We start from the raw sequence: 19,671 nt of genomic DNA on the forward strand, positions 1-19,671 counted from the left end.
AACAAAGCCGGAGGCATAAAGCTACCTGACTTCAAACTATACTACAAGACTACAGTAACTAAAAGAGCATGGGACTGGTACCAAAGCAGATATATAGACCAATGGAACAGAACAGAGCCCTCAGAAATAATGCCGCATATATACAACTATCTGATCTTTGACAAACCTGACAAAAACAAGAAATGGGGAAAGGATTCCCTATATAATAAATGGTGCTGGGAAAACTGGCTAGCCATATGTAGAAAGCTGAAACTGGAATCCTTCCTTACACCTTATGCAAAAATTAATTCAAGATGGATTAAAGACTTAAATGTTAGACCTAAAACTATAAAATCCCTAGAAGAAAACCCAGGCAATACCATTCAGGACATAGGCATGGACAAGGACTTCATGACTAAAATACCAAAAGCAATGGCAACAAAAGCCAAAATAGACAACTGGGATCTAATTAAACTAAAGAGCTTCTGCTCTGCAAAAGAAACTACCATCAGAGTGAACAGGCAACCTACAGAATGGGAGAAAATTTTTGCAATCTACTCATCTGACAAAGGGATAATATCCAGAATCTACAAAAAAATCAAACAAATTTACAAGAAAAACACAAACAACCCCATCAAAAAGTGAGCAAAGGATATAAAGAGACACTTCTCAAAAGAAGACATTTATGCAGCCAAAAGACACATGAAAAAATGCTATCACTGGCCATCAGAGAAATGCAAATCAAAACCACAATGAGATACCATTGCACACCAGTTAGAATGGCGATCGTTAAAAAGTCAGGAAACAACAGGTGCTGGAGAGGATGGGGAGAAATAGGAACACTTTTACACTGTTGGCGAACTGTAAACTAGTTCAACCATTGCGGAAGACAGTGTGGTGATTCCTCAGGGATCTAGAACTAGAAATGCCATTTGACCCAGTGATCCCATTACTGGGTATATACCCAAAGGATTATAAATCATGCTACTATAAAGACACACGCACATGTATGTTTACTGCAGCACTATTCACAATAGCAAAGACTTGGAACCAACCCAAATGTCCATCAATGATAGACTGGATTAAGAAAATGTGGCACATATACACCATGGAATACTAAGCAGCCATAAAAAAGGATGAGTTCATGTCCTTTGCAGGGAATGGATGAAGCTGGAAACCACCATTCTGAGCAAACTATCACAAGGACAGAAAACCAAACACTGCTTGTTCTTATCTATAGGTGGGAATTGAACAATGAGAACACTTGGACACAGGGCGGGGAACATCACACACCGGGGCCTGTTAGGGGGTGGGGGGAGGGGGAGGGATAGCATTAGGAGAAATACCTAATGTAAATGACGAGTTGATGGGTGCAGCAAACCAACATGACACATGTATACCTTTGTATCAAACCTGCACGTTGTGCATATGCACCCTAGAACTTAAAGTATAACAACCAAAAAAGAGAATATTTTGTCTTTTTTCTTCTTGCAGCAATGAGGATAGTTTTACCTTTTTTGCAGTCAGAATATATCTATAACAATACCATAAAATAATCAGGAAGTAGGTTGAAGTTCAGAAAAAATTTTGCTGCTAGTCCAAAAGCCAGATGGACCACAATTTAACTTTGTTCAGAGCCTCTGCTTCCGTAAAAGAGAGAGTAAAGGAAAGATGGAATGAACAGAAAATAGACATATTTTCCTACCAGAAAATGTATCCAGCAAAGGGACAATAGCTGATTGATTTTTGAAGAATATTTTTCCTTTCAGCACTCACAACTTTTGAGTTCCCTTATCTGTCCACTCTAAGTACATTTTAGTCATAGTATAAGACCCTTAGTAAGATAATTATTAGTTGAATGTTTGATATTTTTGTATGCTAGCACTATGCAAATATGTATCACTTTTCATATGTGAGGTATTATGTTAGGCACTTTCATATTACTGTTATTTAATCTTCAAAACAAACTTGTTCTTCTCATAGGTAAACATCCAGCAAATACTGGTTGAATAAATGAATAATAGAGAAATATGTTATCTTTATTTTACAGACAAGGAAACAGGTTCATACTGATAAAATAATTTGACTGATGCCAGGTTGCCACTAAATGTCCAGGTCAGAGTTCAGATCCTGAAAATCTTACAATGAGTCCATAATTTCTATTATACAATTGTCTCCTGAAATAGGTAACTAGTTTTTAAAAATGGCTTTATTTAAGGTAACTCTTTGAGACTAATGAGTGTCATTTCTGAGCACCTAATAAGTATAACTGGGAGATAAGAGATAAGCAATCTCATAAAGACCTATCTAAATCCCAGGAAGTTAATGACTTAATTCCTGTCTACCTTCTTCTTTCTAAAGTAGAGATGCTGTTCAAATGAGTGTGGTCTTAGGAGAACAAAGATTATAACATCCTTAACCCTTGCCTCCATGGCCATTAGAATATCACTGAAGCTCCTCATGCCTCCCTCTTACTGTCCCTAGTAAATATCTGGGAAATATAACTGCTTTTGACATCTGACCTCAGGAGGAGGAAAATTGGAGAACTATTTAAAAAGTCACTACAGTAAATGTATACAAAAGAACCACAAATGTAGGAAGGAAAAAGAAGATCTGAGAAAGTGAATGAGGAACGTTTACATTTTGTTTTAAATTACTATCAATAAATAACTCTTTCAGAAATGGTCTTTGAAAACCAAAGGCAAATATGCTAGACAATGGGAGTTATATATATGAACTAAACACAAGATGTTTAAGCTTTGGTGTGCACGCTTATTTTATCAACATGCCATATGCATGCACTTTCAAATGCAAACTTCAAAACATTTTGTATTTTACTCATGAAATACTTGAAAATTATGAATTTCACAATCATGATGGAATTTAAAAGACCAGTTAAATGTTGATTTTAATTAGAAACATGATGATCTCCATTCACAAAATTATAGAACCAGTGTATAGAACCACCAAATATTGTCAGTATAATTCACACAGAAATATTAACATTTGAACAAATCCTATATTTAATCATTCATTATTTACACATCAAGTATCTGTTCTTATATTACTGTGCTATCTTGGCTCTTTTTGGTAAAATCCAAAACTAACCTGATAGGGTTTCACACATTGTTAAAAATCTCCATGGACTAATTTTGCAACCCCCTGGATCATAGTCAGCTCTTCACTGTAGGGTCTTTATGTCCACAAGTGGACCCTTCAGGTATGAGAGGCTTCAGTTTTAATGGACTCCTAAGAGCTAACAATGAACCAAACAGAAATATAGAATAGTTAAAAGGGCAAAATTGATAAGGATTATGATCCTGTGCATTTTTAAACATTATCTAAACAGGATCCTTGCCAAGAATATACATAGATTATAAATATGTGTGTGTCTGTGTAGTGTGTGTATATATATATATATATATATATATATATATATATACACACACTACACAGACACACACACACACACACACACATACACCTGAGACTGGATAATTTATAAAGGAAAGAGGTTTAATTGACTTACAGTTCTGCATTGCTGGGGAGGCCTCAGGAATAACTATATATGTAGTTATTCAACTTAGTTTAGCTAGTTCCTTTATGAAAGGTTTTCATTCCAAAGGGACTCACTTCACTCCACCTAAGAGGAATGCTCAAGCAAGTCACTGCAGATTAGGCTCTTTATGCACTGTCTTTCACCTAGCCCACACCAACTTCTTCATTATTTGCACTCCTTCATCTTGTTTCTTTGGATGCAAAATCTAGTTAAACATGATGAAAAGCCTCAACTCTGCTGCCTATGAATGTCTTCCCTCCTCTCCTACTCTCTACTTTTATCTATTGCCTTCTAAGTATACCTTGTGGAGACTAGACCTCTCTAGTTCCAGATCTGCCTCAATCCCTTTTCCCTTGCTTTTTTCACTCCCAAATCTTATTTTAGCATTTTTTACTTTGGGTCTTTCATTCACTGAATAAATGTTTATTGAGATCCCACCATGTGGTCAGCACTGTTTTAGATACATAAAAGACAGCAATGAACAGGAGTCCTGGTTGTCACAAAACATCCACTGTAGTGTGGGCACAGAGAGTAAAAGTAAACAACAGAATACATAACATATCTTCAGGGAGTTGGTGCCAAGAATAAAACACAGCAGCATATAAGCCTAGAGAATAAATGTGGGGCAGGGAAGTCTCTTTTAAATACGTGGTCAGAAAAGATCTGTAAAGGAAGGAGAACAGAGACTGTTTTAATCAGGCTGCCATAACAACACATCATAGACTTGGGTGACTTAAACAACAGAAATCTATTTTCTCACAGTTCTGGAGGCTAGGAGTCCAACTTCAGGATGCCAGGATAGTCTGTTTCTGGTAAGGAATGCCTGCCTTGCCTGGGGACAGCTGCTGTTTCCTCATGTGACAAGGAGAGAGACACAGAAAACTCTCATTTCTCTTCATATAAGGGCACTAATCCCATCATGAGAGTCCCACCCTCAAGACCTCATTTTAATCTAGCTATCTCCAAAAAGCCCCTTCTCCAAACACCATTAACTTGGGGGTTTAAGCTTCAACATATTAAGTTAAGTGTGAGAGGACACAATTCATTCCATGGTGGAACCCTGAATGATGTCAATGAGTGAAAATCTTATGGAGGAGATATTCCAGCTGGAGTGCCATGAAGCAAGAATCAGCTTGGACGATTTGAAGAATGGAAGGCCAGTATAGTTAAAACAGAATGAGAAAGTGGGAGAGTGGTAAGAACAAGGATGGAGAGACAGACAGGGGCCAGAGCATGGCAAACATTATAGGAGCAGGGAGGAATTGAGGGATTATTTTGAATATAATCTAAATAAATAGATGGATTTTGAGAAAGAACATTACTTGATCTAATTTATGTTTAAAAGAAAATCACCCCCCGCTGCTATGTGACGAATGGACTAAAGTGGGAACACGAGTGAAAGCATCCTTGTTTGGAGGCTCTTAGAAAAGTCTAAGTGGGAGATAATGATCCTAGTTTAACAGTAGTGGAAATAGTGACAGGTGATGGGACTTAGTATGTATTTTGAAGGTAGAACCGACAGGACTTGCTGATAGAGCAGGTGTTGAAAGTAAGAAAAAGAAGAGTGAGATAAAGACAGCAATGACAGCTTATTAGTTTTGTCTTCAGCAGTGACATAAACAGTGATACTGTTTTCTGAGATTAATTAGAATTAGACAAGGAGGGGAGACACGATAAGATGGAAATTAAGGGTTCAATTTAACATATAAAGTTTGAGATGTCTCTTAGATATCCAAGTAAAGGCTTAATGCTGAAAAAGTCAATGGAAGGGTTACAAATGAACATATAACTTGGAAGCCATCAGCAGAGATGTGGTATTTAATTCTATGGAACTGAATGAGGTCACTTAGGAGAGTCTAGAAAAATAAACACTATATTAGTCTGTTTTCACACTGCAATAAAGAAACTACCTGAGACTGGATAATTTATAAAGGAAAGAGGTTTGACTCATAGTTCTGCACTGCTGGGGAGGCCTCAAGAAACTTACAATCATGACAGAAGGTGAAGGAGAAGCAGGCACCTTCTTCACAAGGAGACAGGAGAGACAGAGAGAGGAACTTCCAAACAAACACTTTTCAAACCATCAGTCCTCACGAGAACTCCGGCACTATCATGAGAATAGTGTGGAGGAAAAGCTGCCCCCATGATCCAATCACCTCCCACCAGGTCACTCCCTTGACACATGGGGAATACAATTTGAGATGAGATTTGGGTAACGACACAGAGCCAAACCATATCAGAGGCCAACAGGTGAACTCTAGTGCTGCACATTTAGAGACAGGTAATAGGAGGAAAAGTTACCAAAGATGTTGAGGAAAGGCTAGCAGAGCTGTAGAAAGAAAACCCAGGAGAGTGTTCAACCATGCCACACTCTGCTGAGAGCTTAAGGTGGAAAAGCACAGTAAATGGATCACTGGACTTGACAAGATGGAAGCCAATAGCTACCTCCATTTTTAGTAGACTTTTAGTGATGTCATGGTGACAAAAAATTGGAACAGGTTAAAGAGAGAATTGGAGAAAAGAAAGTGGAGAAAGCCAGTAGAGACATTTCTTTTAAGGAGTTTTACTCTTGAAAGAGATCAGAAATATGTGGCAGCAGCTAGAGAGAACAATGGGTCAAGGGAAGATTTCTTAAGATAGAAAAGAATAGCAAGTTTGTATGCCGATGGAAATCACTTGGGAGGGGATAATTGATTCAGGCATAAAAGAAAAGAGACAGAAAGAAAATAACTGTAAGAAAAAAGACCTTGAGTAGACAAGAGTGGATGGAATCCTGTGCCAAAGGAGAGAGTTTGGATGTATACAACAGCAGAGAGAATTCATTGAATTCAATAGAAGAAAAGTCAGGGTGCGGCTTTACATAAGGTATGTCTTGAAATTTGTTAGGGGAAAGATGGACTAGTTTTCTTCTGAATGAAGGGGGAAGAGATTGAATTTGAGGTTTGAAGAGAGCAAGTGTGAGGTAATTATGAAAGTAAATGAGAAAGTAAAATTATATCTTTTATATAATACAATAAAAGTAAATTTCTTTTGAAACCTAATTCCTATTTGCAACACTGTTTGTATAGATAATTATTTCAAATAATGTCACATATAATAAAGCCCACATTTCCAAAAAATAACCCTGCTGTTATTCAAGTAAGTGAAGTATTCCTTTCTTACAAAACTAATACTACACTAATGAAATTTTGCTAACAAAATCCACCAAGTTGCTCATTACCTCCTATTAAGTAAAGTCTTATTATATCTAATACTCTCTTTTTTTATTAAGGAACTAAAACCCTGTTAACCATATTTAGTCTGTTTTGGATGAAGAAGTCCAAATTTTTCAAGCAAGAAGCAATTATTTTAAAGAAAATAAGCTGACAATAAAAAATCTCTATCAGGTTCCAGCCCCAGCTGAGACCCAGAAGGACTGGGTGGATGGGCAGAAAGAACACTTGGGGGGCCGTAGGCAGGAGAATATGGTTTTATTCAGCAGCAGCTCTCATCAATAGCTTTCTTACACTGGCTGTCTCACACTGTCTGCCCTGTCTCGGCTGCTTGAGGCGGCAGCTCCAACACACAGCTGCATGGCTGGCTTGACCCTGCCTTCAGGGTCAGTAGCTTAACTCTTTTTTCTCTCTGGGCACGAGCACAAGCCATAACATGCCATGCCGTGCTGAGCCATGCTGTAGCTCCCCTCTGTTCATTGGCAAGATGGACAGTTTTGGCTCTCTCTCTCTTTCTGGGCACCAGAGCCTGCAGAGGAGCCGTGCTGGGCCAAGCCAAGCCCTGTGCAGTGTCAGCAGGGCAATTATACCTTTTACAGACAATAGTGGCTCAGGGCCAAGTCTGAACTTACACAGTTTATATAACAAGTAGAGGTCTGTGCCTGCAAGCCAAACTCACTGAGCCACGCCAGCCTGGATATCCGCCTCGGCCTATTCCTTGACCAAAGCACATCCATGTGCCTTACAATCTCAGTAAGGTGAAAAACACTCATTGTCACTGTATTTTCTAGAACACACACTGAACTTGAACATTGGAGAACAAAATACCCTGGGAAGATTTCCCTGAAAGTTTTAATAAGAGTACATGCACGTGAAGAGGTCCATTTATGTTTAAATTCACTACTTCTTTTTCATTATTTTAATTGTTAGGTTCACAATTACACCAAATGTCCCTCTTGGGGACAGATTCCAGGCCATGCTGAGGTCTGAGGGGAGTGGGTAGATGAATGGCAGATAGCTGAAAGAACCCTCGGGGGGCTGTAGGTAGGTGAAATGTAGTTTTTTTCAGCAGCTCTCCCATCAGCAGCTTACTCACATTAGCTCTCTCACTGTCCACCTTTATCTCTGCTGTTTGCTCCGGCTCTGCAGCTCCTCTCAGCAGCCGGCTCCCACGCACAGCTGCACAGCCAGTCTGCAAGGTAAGCTCTCCCTTACAGTTTTAGCAGCTCAATTCTTTCCCTCTGGGCACAAGCTGATTCCTGGCTTCCCACTGCCCCCCTTCAAGGTGACCAGCTCTTCCTTACACTGGTCAGTAGTGCTGAGAGGTGACAGCGTGCTGGCAGTCCTCACAGCCCTCGCTCGCTCTTGGCGCCTCCTCTGCCTGGGCTCTCACTTTGGCAGCACTTGAGGAGCCCTTCAGCCCACCGCTGCACTGTGGGAGCCCCTTTTTGTGCTGGCCAAGGCCGGAGCAGGCTCCCTCAGCTTGCAGGGAGGTGTGGAGGGAGAGGCAAGAGCGGGAACCCGGGCTGCGCGCGCGCTTGCGGGCCAGCTGGAGTTTCCGGTGGGCGTGGGCTTGGCGGGCCCCGCACTCGGAGCAGCCGGCGGGCCCTACCGGCCCCGGGCAATGAGGGGCTTAGCACCCGGGCCAGCGGCTGCGGAGGGTGTACTGGGTCCCCCAGAAGTGCCAGCCCACCGGCGCTGCTCTTGATTTCTCACCGGGCCTTAGCTACCTTCCCGCGGGGCAGGGCTCGGGACTTACAGCCCTCCATACCTGAGCCTCCCACCCCCTCCTTGGGCTCCTGTGCCGCCTGAGCCTCCTGGAAGAGCGCTGCCCCCTGCTCCACGGCGCCCAGTCCCTTCGACCACTCAAGGGCTGAGGAGTGCGGGTGTACGGCGCGGGACTGGCAGGCAGCTCCACCTGCAGCCCCTGTGCGGGATCCACTGGGTGAAGCCAGCTGGGCTCCTGAGTGTGGTGGGGATGTGGAGAATCTTTATGTCTAGCTCAGGGATTGTAAATACACCAATCAGCACCCTGTGTCTAGCTCAGGGTTTGTGAATGCACCAATCGACACTCTGTATCTAGCTACTCTGGTGGGGCCTTGGAGAACCTTTGTGTCCACACTCTGTATCTAGCTAATCTGGTGGGGAGGTGAAGAACATTTGTGCCTAGCTCAGGGATTGTAAAGGCACCAATCAGCGCCCTGCCAAAACAGACCACTAGGCTCTACCAATCAGCAGGATGTGGGTGGGGCCAGATAAGAATAAAAGCAGGCTGCCCCAGCCAGCAGTAGCAACCTGCTGGGGTCCTCTTCCACATTGTGGGGGCTTTGCTCTTTTGCTCTTTGCAATAAATCTTGCTGCTGCTCACTCTTTGGGTCCACACTGCTTTTATGAGCTGTAGTACTCACTGTGAAGGTCTGCAGCTTCACTCCTGAGCCAGCAAGACCACGAACCCACCAGAAGGAAGAAACTCTGAATACATCTGAGCATCAGAAGGAACAAACTCCGGACACGCTGCCTTTAAGAACTGTAACACTCACCGCGAGAGTCCGCGGCTTCATTCTTGAAGTCAGTGAGACCAAGAACCTACCAATTCCAGACACAGTGCTACTCTCTCTCTGGGGACCAGAGTGCATGCCACGTCCAGGCAGGCCATGCCCTGGCTCTCCTCTGTCCATCTGCAAGATGAGCAGCTCTGGTTCTCTATTTTTCTGGGCTCCAGCAGCTCCTGTACAGCAATAGCAGGGCAGTTGTACCTGCTAAGACAATAGTGGCTCAGAGCCAAGTATGAACTTACACAAACAGGTTATATAACAAGTGGAGCATGCACTGGTGCACCAATCCCGCTAACTCGTGCATGCCTGGATGTCTGCCTGGGTCTAATTCTTGACCAAAGTGTACCCATGTACCTTATAATAATGGAGCTTTATCAATAAATACAAAACAAATTAAACATTGAATATTATATAAATATGTGTTCTGTGAAGAATATGTTAGAATCTCATTTGTTTAGAATATTCTCTATAGTTCTAGTTTATTTAAGTCACTATATATATAAATATTACTGTTTTGTCTTTTTTTACAATCACCATGGAATTATTTGAACTGGGAAATGTCCAGTGAACTCTATATTACACTCATATTTAGAATACACAAAATCTGGGTTAATCTGTACATTCAGTTAGGACTGCCTGAGCAGTTGACTCTGAGCCAGGGACTAGCCTACAGCAAGTTTGCTGGGAAGTGCTGTAGGTATTATCAGCTGGAAGAAGAGAGAAGGAAGCAGGATTGAACAGAGGGTGAGGTTGTGCTGCAGTACATTCTCAACAAAGTCCTTAGTTGAAACCGTGAGAGCACTGCAGCTAGGATGGCTTTTCAGAGTTGTCCCCAGCTGGGGAGAGGAAGAAAAGGTTTTGCACCCAGCTTAAACACCAGAGACAGCGTATGAATTTCCCCTGGGAAGGGGACATAATTTGCCCAAGGCAGTTCTCTTCAGCTGAGGACCATTTCCAGCTGTGATCTAGCAGGCAGCAGTACTCCTGGCAGCTGGAGGAAAAGCCCTTCAGTTCTACAGGAGGAGCAGTGGGCAGCACATGGTCCACTACAAGAGTAAAGATCATCTTAGCTCCATTGTAAAATTGAGAAAAAAAATGATAGTTTTAAGGGTTGCTTTTGAAAATGCAGAATCAAATCAGTTTTTCCTACAGGTGCAGTATGTTTTGTGGGAACAGGAGTAAGTAAAGGATTTTTTTTTTCTCTGAGTATGTGTTGATGTGTTGACCTCAGAGTCCAGAGAGGTCCTGACCAGCAGCTCAGAGCTGAGAACTCTAATATGCACAAGATTCCCTGTAATCACAAGAGGACTTGGATGGAATGTGACAAGTGCCACCTTTATCTTTGAGGAAAGGTATTTACAGGTCAACGCAGGTGATTAACTGCAAATTAGAGGACCACTAGTAAAGAGTCAGTAATTTGGTGGTCTCCACTCCCCCCAGGGACACAGGATATGGAGAATTATCAACATAGCTATCCTCTGTTGAAAATCTAGAGAATGTGACCCGAATAGTAGTAGTGATGATGTCAGTAGTAATAACATTAGTTTTAGTAATAGTAGTAGCAGAGGTAGCAAAACCACTTATTAAGTAATGAGTATGTTCTATGTAACAGGCATTGCATTAAGGACCATAATTGAATTACAAAAAGTAAAATAACTTCCAAGGCTACCTGCTGATGACAAGCAGAACTAAAATTTGGCTATCCATCTATATTACTCCAAAATATTATGTTTACTACATAAATGATGGTCTAGAAAGAAGGTTTTAAACACAAATTCCTTCAAAAGTTACACAAATAAAAATGGGTGAAGTAGGCTGCTGTGATGGTTAATATTGAGTGTCAACTTGATTGGAATGAAGGATGCAAAGCATTGTTTCTGGGTGTGTCTGTGAGGGTGTTGCCAAAGATTAACAGTTGAGTCAGTGGACTGAGAAAGGCAGATCCCTCGGTCTGGATGGGCACAATCTAATCAGCTACCAGCATAGCCAGAATAAAAGCAGGCAGAAGAACATGGAAAGACTAGACTGGTTTAGTCTTCTGGCCTCCATCTTTCTCTTGTGCTGGATGCTTCTTGCCCTTGAACATCGGACTCCAAGTTCTTCAGCTTTGGGACTTGGACTGGCTTCCTTGCTTCTCAGCTTGCAGATGGCCTATAGTGGGACTTCACCTTGTGATCGTGTGAATCAGTACTCCTCAATAAGCTCTCTTTTAATATACACCTATCCTATTAGTTCTATCCCTCTAGAGAGCCCTGACTAATACATTGCAAATAACCTACATTGCACATATTATGTGAGTAATGGAAGCTCAGATAAATTGGAGAAAGGGGATAATTAATACTCAACTCCCATCAAATGTTACCATTTGGAAATCTGGGCCCCATCTGACCAAATATACCAACTGTTCAAAAAAAAGCAAAAATTATGTAGTGTAGTGTGAATTCACCCCTTTACTGTTGACTTAATTTTTAAATAAATAAATGTTAAACAAAACGTGTCTGGAACGAGATTCAACTACTTCTGAATTAGAAAGAATTTGTTATTCTAGGTGCCAATCTATTCTTGATTGGATTGGTTGAATTATAACCATAAAGCAAGAACTCAAAGAAAAAGAGGATAGAAGGGGAGCTTTAGTGGTAAACCTGGAGTTAAAGCAAAACCATGGATGAGACCTCAGCAGGTGGCCAACCTTACTAGTCAAGCAGCAACAACATAGATGAACTTGGCTAAGAGTGGACTATATCAGTTCAGCAGCAGTGGATCAGAGCATAATGAACACTGGAGGCAGTAATTTGTGGAGTTGGAAGACTTTTTGTCTCTATCATCAAAGGATATTGCCCAAAAGAAGGAAAAAAGCTTCAAGAGTAGCACATTAGGCCACATGAGGATTTGGCAGCTCTGAATATGGCCCTGGAAATTGGTAGGAGAAATTGACAGCTGGGTTGTTGCCTTTGAGTTAAAACAATCAGGCTGAGAAGATCCTGGAGCAGCTGCCACTTGGAAACTTCATTGAGCAAACCTGAAATAAGAGGAAAGCCTGGGCTTTGAACTCAGATGAATCTCAGCTGGTCAGAGCTGACTTGCAGGATGGTGAAAGAGTTAGAAACAAATGTGTGTATAGGTACTTGAACAGAGTTTGAATTTAGGCTAGCTTTGGCCAGAATTCAGTGAGTAGTATGAGAAGGGGCTTATGCAGGGCAAAAAGGAAACCATCCTAAATGGGAGAAGAAGGATAAAAATATTTCCACTGACTCAGACCTGAAGACATGAAATGATCAAGTCCTAATTATAGCATCAAAAAAGTCTCAGCATTATTATGAAGGATGGCAACAAATTAGCTGATTTAAATATTAGCCAAAATTAATACAAATTAACTGCTAACCACCCTCTACTGCAAACTGTTAGGCACTCCCAGAAAGAATGAAATGAGAGATAGATACATTTTAAGTGGGCAAGATGATTAAGAGGTAAGATTTTTGCCCTAGGAGTATCAGGCCCTAACCATTTTCATTATATTTTGAGGATATCAGAAGTTTGGGTTCGGTGAGAGGATACAGAGAGGTTAAAAAAAATGTGAAAGAAGGGAGAATACCAAGAGCCAACTTTGCATATTGACAATATTGCCCAGGCCTAGCCAATATCAAATAATTCCTTTCAATGGCCGTGCCCGCTGAATCAAAGAGTAAATGAATCACCCAGAAACATTCAATCATTTTTAAGAATCTCTACCTCTAAAAGATATACTGAAATATTATGGAGACAGCCCGAGACTGAATATGATAATACCTGAGACTGAATATGAATATGATAATACTGAATATGATTCTGGTCCTAGTGACCACTCATCAGTCATGTGACCTTGAACAAGTAGCTTAACCTCTTGATCCTCAGTATCTTTTTCTGCAAAGTGGAGATAATTAGACCTGCTTGTCTTTTTCATACAGTTACTAATGAAGCTTTAGTTGAATAATAAATGTCTCAGAAAACTATAAAATCCTGTGTCAATATGTCATTCTAATAGTTTTGTTCCTATAAAATAAACCTCCTTAAAACTTTGCTTTGTTACTGTCACTCACACTCCATACATTTAAGGATGATCTATTGTCAAGAGAAAAATAAGTATCTTGAAAGCATTCACATTTTTGACTCCAACTATTCACTTCTGAATTCTCCATACTAACAAACAAATTTTGTACCATTATGGCCTGGTGCTTTTACTCAATCTATTAAATTGACTCCAGGAAAAAAAAAATCCTTCAAGACTCAATTCAGTTTGCCTGCCTTTTCAGATGAATCCAGCCCATAATGATCTCCTTTTTATGTGAATGCCAAAATCCCTTACTATTGATACTGTTAATTTAGTAATTCGTAGTTGTCTAGGTTTTTTAACCAGTTTTCTAATGCTTTTGTGCACATTTATGTCATACATTACTAAAATCTCCCTCTGATTATGTCTTATTTCCCCAACTATACTATATGTAAATTGAAGATAGCAGGGACTATCCCCTCAACATATTTCTATTTCTCCCATCAGTTCATGGTGTTAATATAATAGAAGGTTCCTCCTAAACAGCTGAATCTATTTCACTGCTGCCACTGCAATCACTGAACTTCTGTAAATCTGCCCTGCATTGCAAAGACTCCTAGCTTCACAGCCACAACCCACTGCAGCTGAGCTTGGCCACTCAAGTGCAAAATCTCAGTCACAATATCATTCTGACTTGGGTTTATTTCAGAACTCACTTCACTGATCATAGCTCTGTCTGTGATGTGGCCCAGCACACATATTTAGATTGTGAGGCTACATACCATCATCAGGAACTGTCAGGGCAAAGTCTTGCCTATGCAATAAATATTGCCATAAAATTCAACTTTTCTTGCCATCTCTTCCAATATTTGTTATCCCAAATGATTATCAAGAATCAATCACTTACTGACCTGTTTTCTCTGCCCTTTGACTAAAAAATGGTAGAGCAGAGACAAGTGGGCTGCCAAAGTCTATAAGCTCTGAGCATTTACTTCCTCATGTCCCATCTTTCTAGCCTGGTGATGCCCAATACCATACCTACTAGCCACATATGACATTAAGCACATGAAATATGGCTAGTGCAACTAAGAAATAGAATTTTAATTTAATTTTAATTTATTTAAATTTATAAACTGAAGCAGAATGAAATGGTTTTTTGTTAAAAACAACTTTATAATATGACCAAGATTACTTTTCCCTTATCCATTGAAAATTTAGCGTTCAAAGTAAGGTGTGCTGTAAATATAAAACACACACTGGAGTTTGAAGATTTAGTATGCAAAAATATATAAAATTGCTTTAATAATTTCTATATCATGACTAGTTGAAATGATATTTGGACACAGCAGACTACATAAAATCATATTATTAAATTGACTTCATGGCTTCTTTTTTTACTTTTTTAATGTGGCTAACAGAAAATTTACTATTAGATACATACCACATAATATTTTCCTATTGGATGATGCTGCTCTAGCTCATCACCTGGTACATGGAAAGTGTGAATAACTAAGAATATTACATACATTATCCCACTTCATGTTCACCATGAATTCTGTTTTATAGATGAGAAAACTGAGGTTTAGGAAGATGAAATGACATCAATATTACCTAGCTAGTAAGTGATGGAGCTAAGATTCGTGCTTAGATCTGTTTCTCACCAAAGCCCATATAGAACAATTGATTGACTGGGATATTTACCTCCTTGCATTACAAAACTACTGCTCTAATATGCTCAGAAATTTATTTTTTTAAATACAGCTGCAATTGCCTAAGCAATTACAAACAATGAAAAAATTCAGGCAAAAGTTGGACAAAAACACAGTCTGGATTGTTTCCAAAACAGAATCCAAATTGGGTCAGTCAAGAGTATGATAATGGAAAAACAGTGAGGAAACAACTGACAGGGACACAGAACAAACAAAACTCAAATGAGGCATAGGTTTAAATATTCCCCAAAGCACTGTCGCAAACATGTACCAAACAGTAATAATATTATTCATTTCTCACAGTTTTCTCATTTCACTCCTGAAGGAAGTTTTCCAAGCAATTCAAAATCTTGGCCAACTGGCCTTCATCACAATAATGAGTAGAGTATTGGTATATTTTTGGAATCTGAAGAATTGCTCCACAGGAGGCTAATTATTTGCATCTTGAATTTATACCCACTTCACATTAATTTCTGTATCTTGCCAGGTTTTCAAACTGCCTTTAGAAAGTAGCAGTGACAGTGACATCTGGCCAGATTCCTGATGCCGCTTCAGAGACACATTCTCATGCAGAAATGGAGTATGAGCTTGTCATCCATTTTGGAAACCTAAATTTTTTTCTACAACTATAAAATGGTATGAGTAAGGCTGATAAGTGAGACTGGCTTAATAGTTTATCATGTCATTGGAGGTGTTGATTCTTCAAGTATATTTCCTGAGCAAATAATCTAGTAGTGCTGAAACTCTATATCTGAGCTCTATAAATTATTGATCAGCACTATCAAGCTCAAAGAAATCCCTTTGAAAAATTTTCCCAACTACAAATACTCTCTCTCACACACACACACACACTTGCAAGTTTATCTTTGCACAAATATATATCTTTACTTATATGGGTTTTGCTTTGAGTTAGGACAAAAATATTTCTATGGAATAAATCAAGAGTACTATTTGAAATCAAGTTACATGTCCTTTCATGTAGTGATACTAGGTGAGCCCAGATTCTCTTTGGCAGTGTTAGTTTTATCCAGAATTGTAAAAATATGCTCCTCTTTCAAGTGGACTAAAATCAGTTTTCTTTCTGAAATCTAGAGTGTACCTACCCAGATGTAAGTCAAACATGTGGTTTAGGTATATTTTCTCACAAGAATTATTTACATTTTCAGAAGAAACTCTTGAAGCCTGGAAAGATTCATGATACTCAGGAATGAATATGTAACAGTATAAATTTCAGACAGACAGATATCAGGGATAAAATATGAAAACAGAACTATTTCCTCCTCAAATGGTGACATTTTGGCTGCTACTTACTCACAATGCCAGTTCTGTCTTCAGAATCCCCCTTAGCTGGAAATTTACATGGATGTTTTAGCCCTCCAATCAATTTTCCCTCCCTTTTTCTTTCCTTCCTTCAGCAGATATTTACGGTGAATGCTACATACATATTTCTTGCACCAAGCTTATGTAAACACACACCTTTTGGATGTGGGTTTAGGTGGTATGTATCCGCATAAGGAATGGTCAGAGTAGGCCAACTTTAAGCTGTTTGAAAATAATGGCAAATAAAGAAAAATAGATGCCCAAGCCTCTCTCCTCTCTGAGAGTTTCCCAAATATCCCTGACCTGAAGCTGGAATCTTTCAGCTCTCTTTGAAGCCACTGCTGCTTGTTTTGCTCCGGCAGCTTTCTCCAGCCGCTGTCACATCTGTCTGAGATCACAGCAAGCTTGGCTGCTTTAATACTTTGGTATCTGTTATGTTAGCTCCTGCTGGAACCTGGCACCTCAACTCTTCTATCAGCTCAGATCATCATCATTACCATCCAGGCTGACCTCAGTCTCAGCCAGCGGCTCTCATGTAGTCTCCCTGTTAGAGGCACACCTCGGGCAGTAGACAGTCACAAACTACTCCCCACGGCTGTGGGAAGAGGTTACATATGACTGCTAAGCTCAGTCATATTTTATCAAAGCCTTTGATCTCTGGTTTGATCTTAGCCAAGATCTGTGACACAAACAGGTCTTTGCTCACATGGTAACTGGTGCTTACTAACTCAGTTCCCTTTTTTTACTTTGAGCATCCTGCTGTCTGTATATTAATGCTGTCTAACACTAAATGAAAGGTCAAAGTAAAAATAGGCACTTTGTGATAGAAGACATTTTTCCTTTCACCCTATTGGCTTTTTCTAGGGCCCCACACTTTTGCAAAGCTTTTCTTTGTACCTGCCTGAAGGGCATCATTAGATGGTTTCCTGTCAGTTCCTTTTTTGTCTTGCAATAGGCAAGTTTTAGAGGGACTATAAGGTAAAATAATGTTTTATGTGTTGCACATTAACTTTATTAGATAAACATTTAATAGTTTAAACAGTTATCATGAGTAAATGAATAACACTTTATCAAGAAATGACCCAAAAATATCTTTCTGTCTGTGTGTGTGTGTGTGTATTTTGAATGGCTCTTGAAAAAAAAATAGTTCTGTTTAAAGGAATAATTAAAACAATTGTAATGAAGAGAATTGTGAAAACCTAGAAGAAGTAAAAGATGTCAGATACATTGGATAGGATGAGGAAAACAAAATCACTCAGAATATGAACACCTAACAGGGGCAAGGATTGTGCACTTGACTCTTGGGGAATGGGAATACCTTCTGGGATTTAAGAGTAAGAATGGAAATGCTGGAAGCACAGAAAGAATCTTTTGAATAGTGGCAGTAGGCAGAAATGGAACAGATGGACTGCTTAAACGCAGAGGGTTTCCGTGAAGAGAATCATTCAGGTAAAGACTAGGGCAGCAGTGGAGGGGGAGAAAAAAGCTGCAGATTTAAAGTGAGGCAGCAAGATTTGGCAATCGATGTGGCAAACAAAGGGCAGGGATATATAAAGCTCTCACAGGGAGTTTGAGTTTGGATGTCAAAGAGAAAGACTGAAACCCAAAGCTGCTGCCTCCTGTGAAATACTATTATGGAGATAATTACAGTGGGAAAGACTTGTACAAAAATAAAAATAACATCTTACCCTAGCTTCAACATCAGCCATTCTGACCACCACCAGGCCTTATTAGGCAGGTAAAAAATTTAAAAAAAAGACTGAAAGACATTCCAAATTTAAGAAATTTGTAGAGCCAAACCATAATACCATCTCAGCTTACCAGCCTTACCATCAACCTAGATAATCAAGCAAGAATTTAGGAGGCAATCTTGATTTCTTTCTTTCTCTCATCCCTGATAAGCAACCCATCATGTATCCTGTTGACTCTATCTTCAAATATATCCTATAATCATCCATTTCTCTCAAATTCACATCTATCACCATAGTCCACGATATCATCACATCTCACTTGACTAAAATGGCCTACTAAGTAATCCTCTTTCTGCCAGATGATCTTTCAGAAATATCTATCAGATCAATCTCATGTTATGTATATGTATACTATATGTGATATATATAACATGTGGTAATATAAGTACAAAAATGTTTCAATAAAATATAGAATAAAAGGCAACTTACCAGGACCTAAAAGCTCTCCATGATCTGATTCCACCCTCCTCTTCAACCTCATCTAGTGATGCTGTCTCTCCTGCTTATTCATGATACTTCAGCCACACAGGCCTTCTTTTTGCTTTTCTTCATGTGCTAAACCTGCACTGTTACACTTGCTATTGCTCCATTTAAAATGGTATGTCCTATATCTTTGTAAGCCTAGCTTCTCCTTTTCTTTCAGTTTGGTGTTTAGTGTCACCCCTGAAAGGACCTTCCTTAAACACCAAATCAGACATGGCCAGACCTCAACCATAGTCACTCTACCACAACCCCCTGGTTCTTACATATAGGTTCACCACTCACTCCATTCTCAGCAGCTAGAAAAGTGCTTGGCACAACGTAAATGCCCAATAAATATTTGTTACTTAATTAGTCTGGGCCTCAGTTTCCTCATTTTTAAAATTAAAAGCTATATTAGATGACTCCCAATTTCATCCAGTTCTATGATTTATTTTAAGTAATTTGAGCAGATAAGAAAAGTTTTATAGATGGACTCCCAGGTTAAACCAGCGTAGACACTCAATAAGTGTTTGCTAATAAATAAAATGTTATCTAAGCTAGTTTTTTGTACATATGTAAAGATGTAGTCACCAGAGCCCCTGACACACTGCTTTTTAGGGTTTAAAAGGGAGGTTTGATTTGCCTCCCATTAATTTAATCGAATTCACCAGAGTAAATGCCACCTCAGCAAAATCCTCACAAAAACAATGAGAGCTGACATCCAGCTGGTAGGCATTAGTTCTACAATATGTGTTGTTCACAAGCAGCATCTTTTCTGATTGGTCAGTCTCTGTATCATATGGAGGTTAAATATTTTGATTCTCACACATCTCCAACCCATGGCTCTATTTAAGCCTATCAGTTCCCAGAACTTTCAAACAAGGATCTCAGTTAAGGTCTTTCAGTTAAGATTATACTAGGCAACAATGGGCACTAAGCCAATTTACTATTCTAAACCAAGGACTAGAAAAGAGTGCATGGAGAATATTGGTCATATTTGTTTACAGCATGTGTGACTTAATAAATTGAGCACCTAGTTTTTTCTAAAAGTTGTTTGATTCTTTATTGATGGGATTGGAGTTTGTGGAGGTTTGTGG

Source organism: Homo sapiens, chromosome 4 (genome assembly GCF_000001405.40).
Source record: "Homo sapiens chromosome 4, GRCh38.p14 Primary Assembly".
Taxonomy (NCBI): domain Eukaryota; kingdom Metazoa; phylum Chordata; class Mammalia; order Primates; family Hominidae; genus Homo; species Homo sapiens.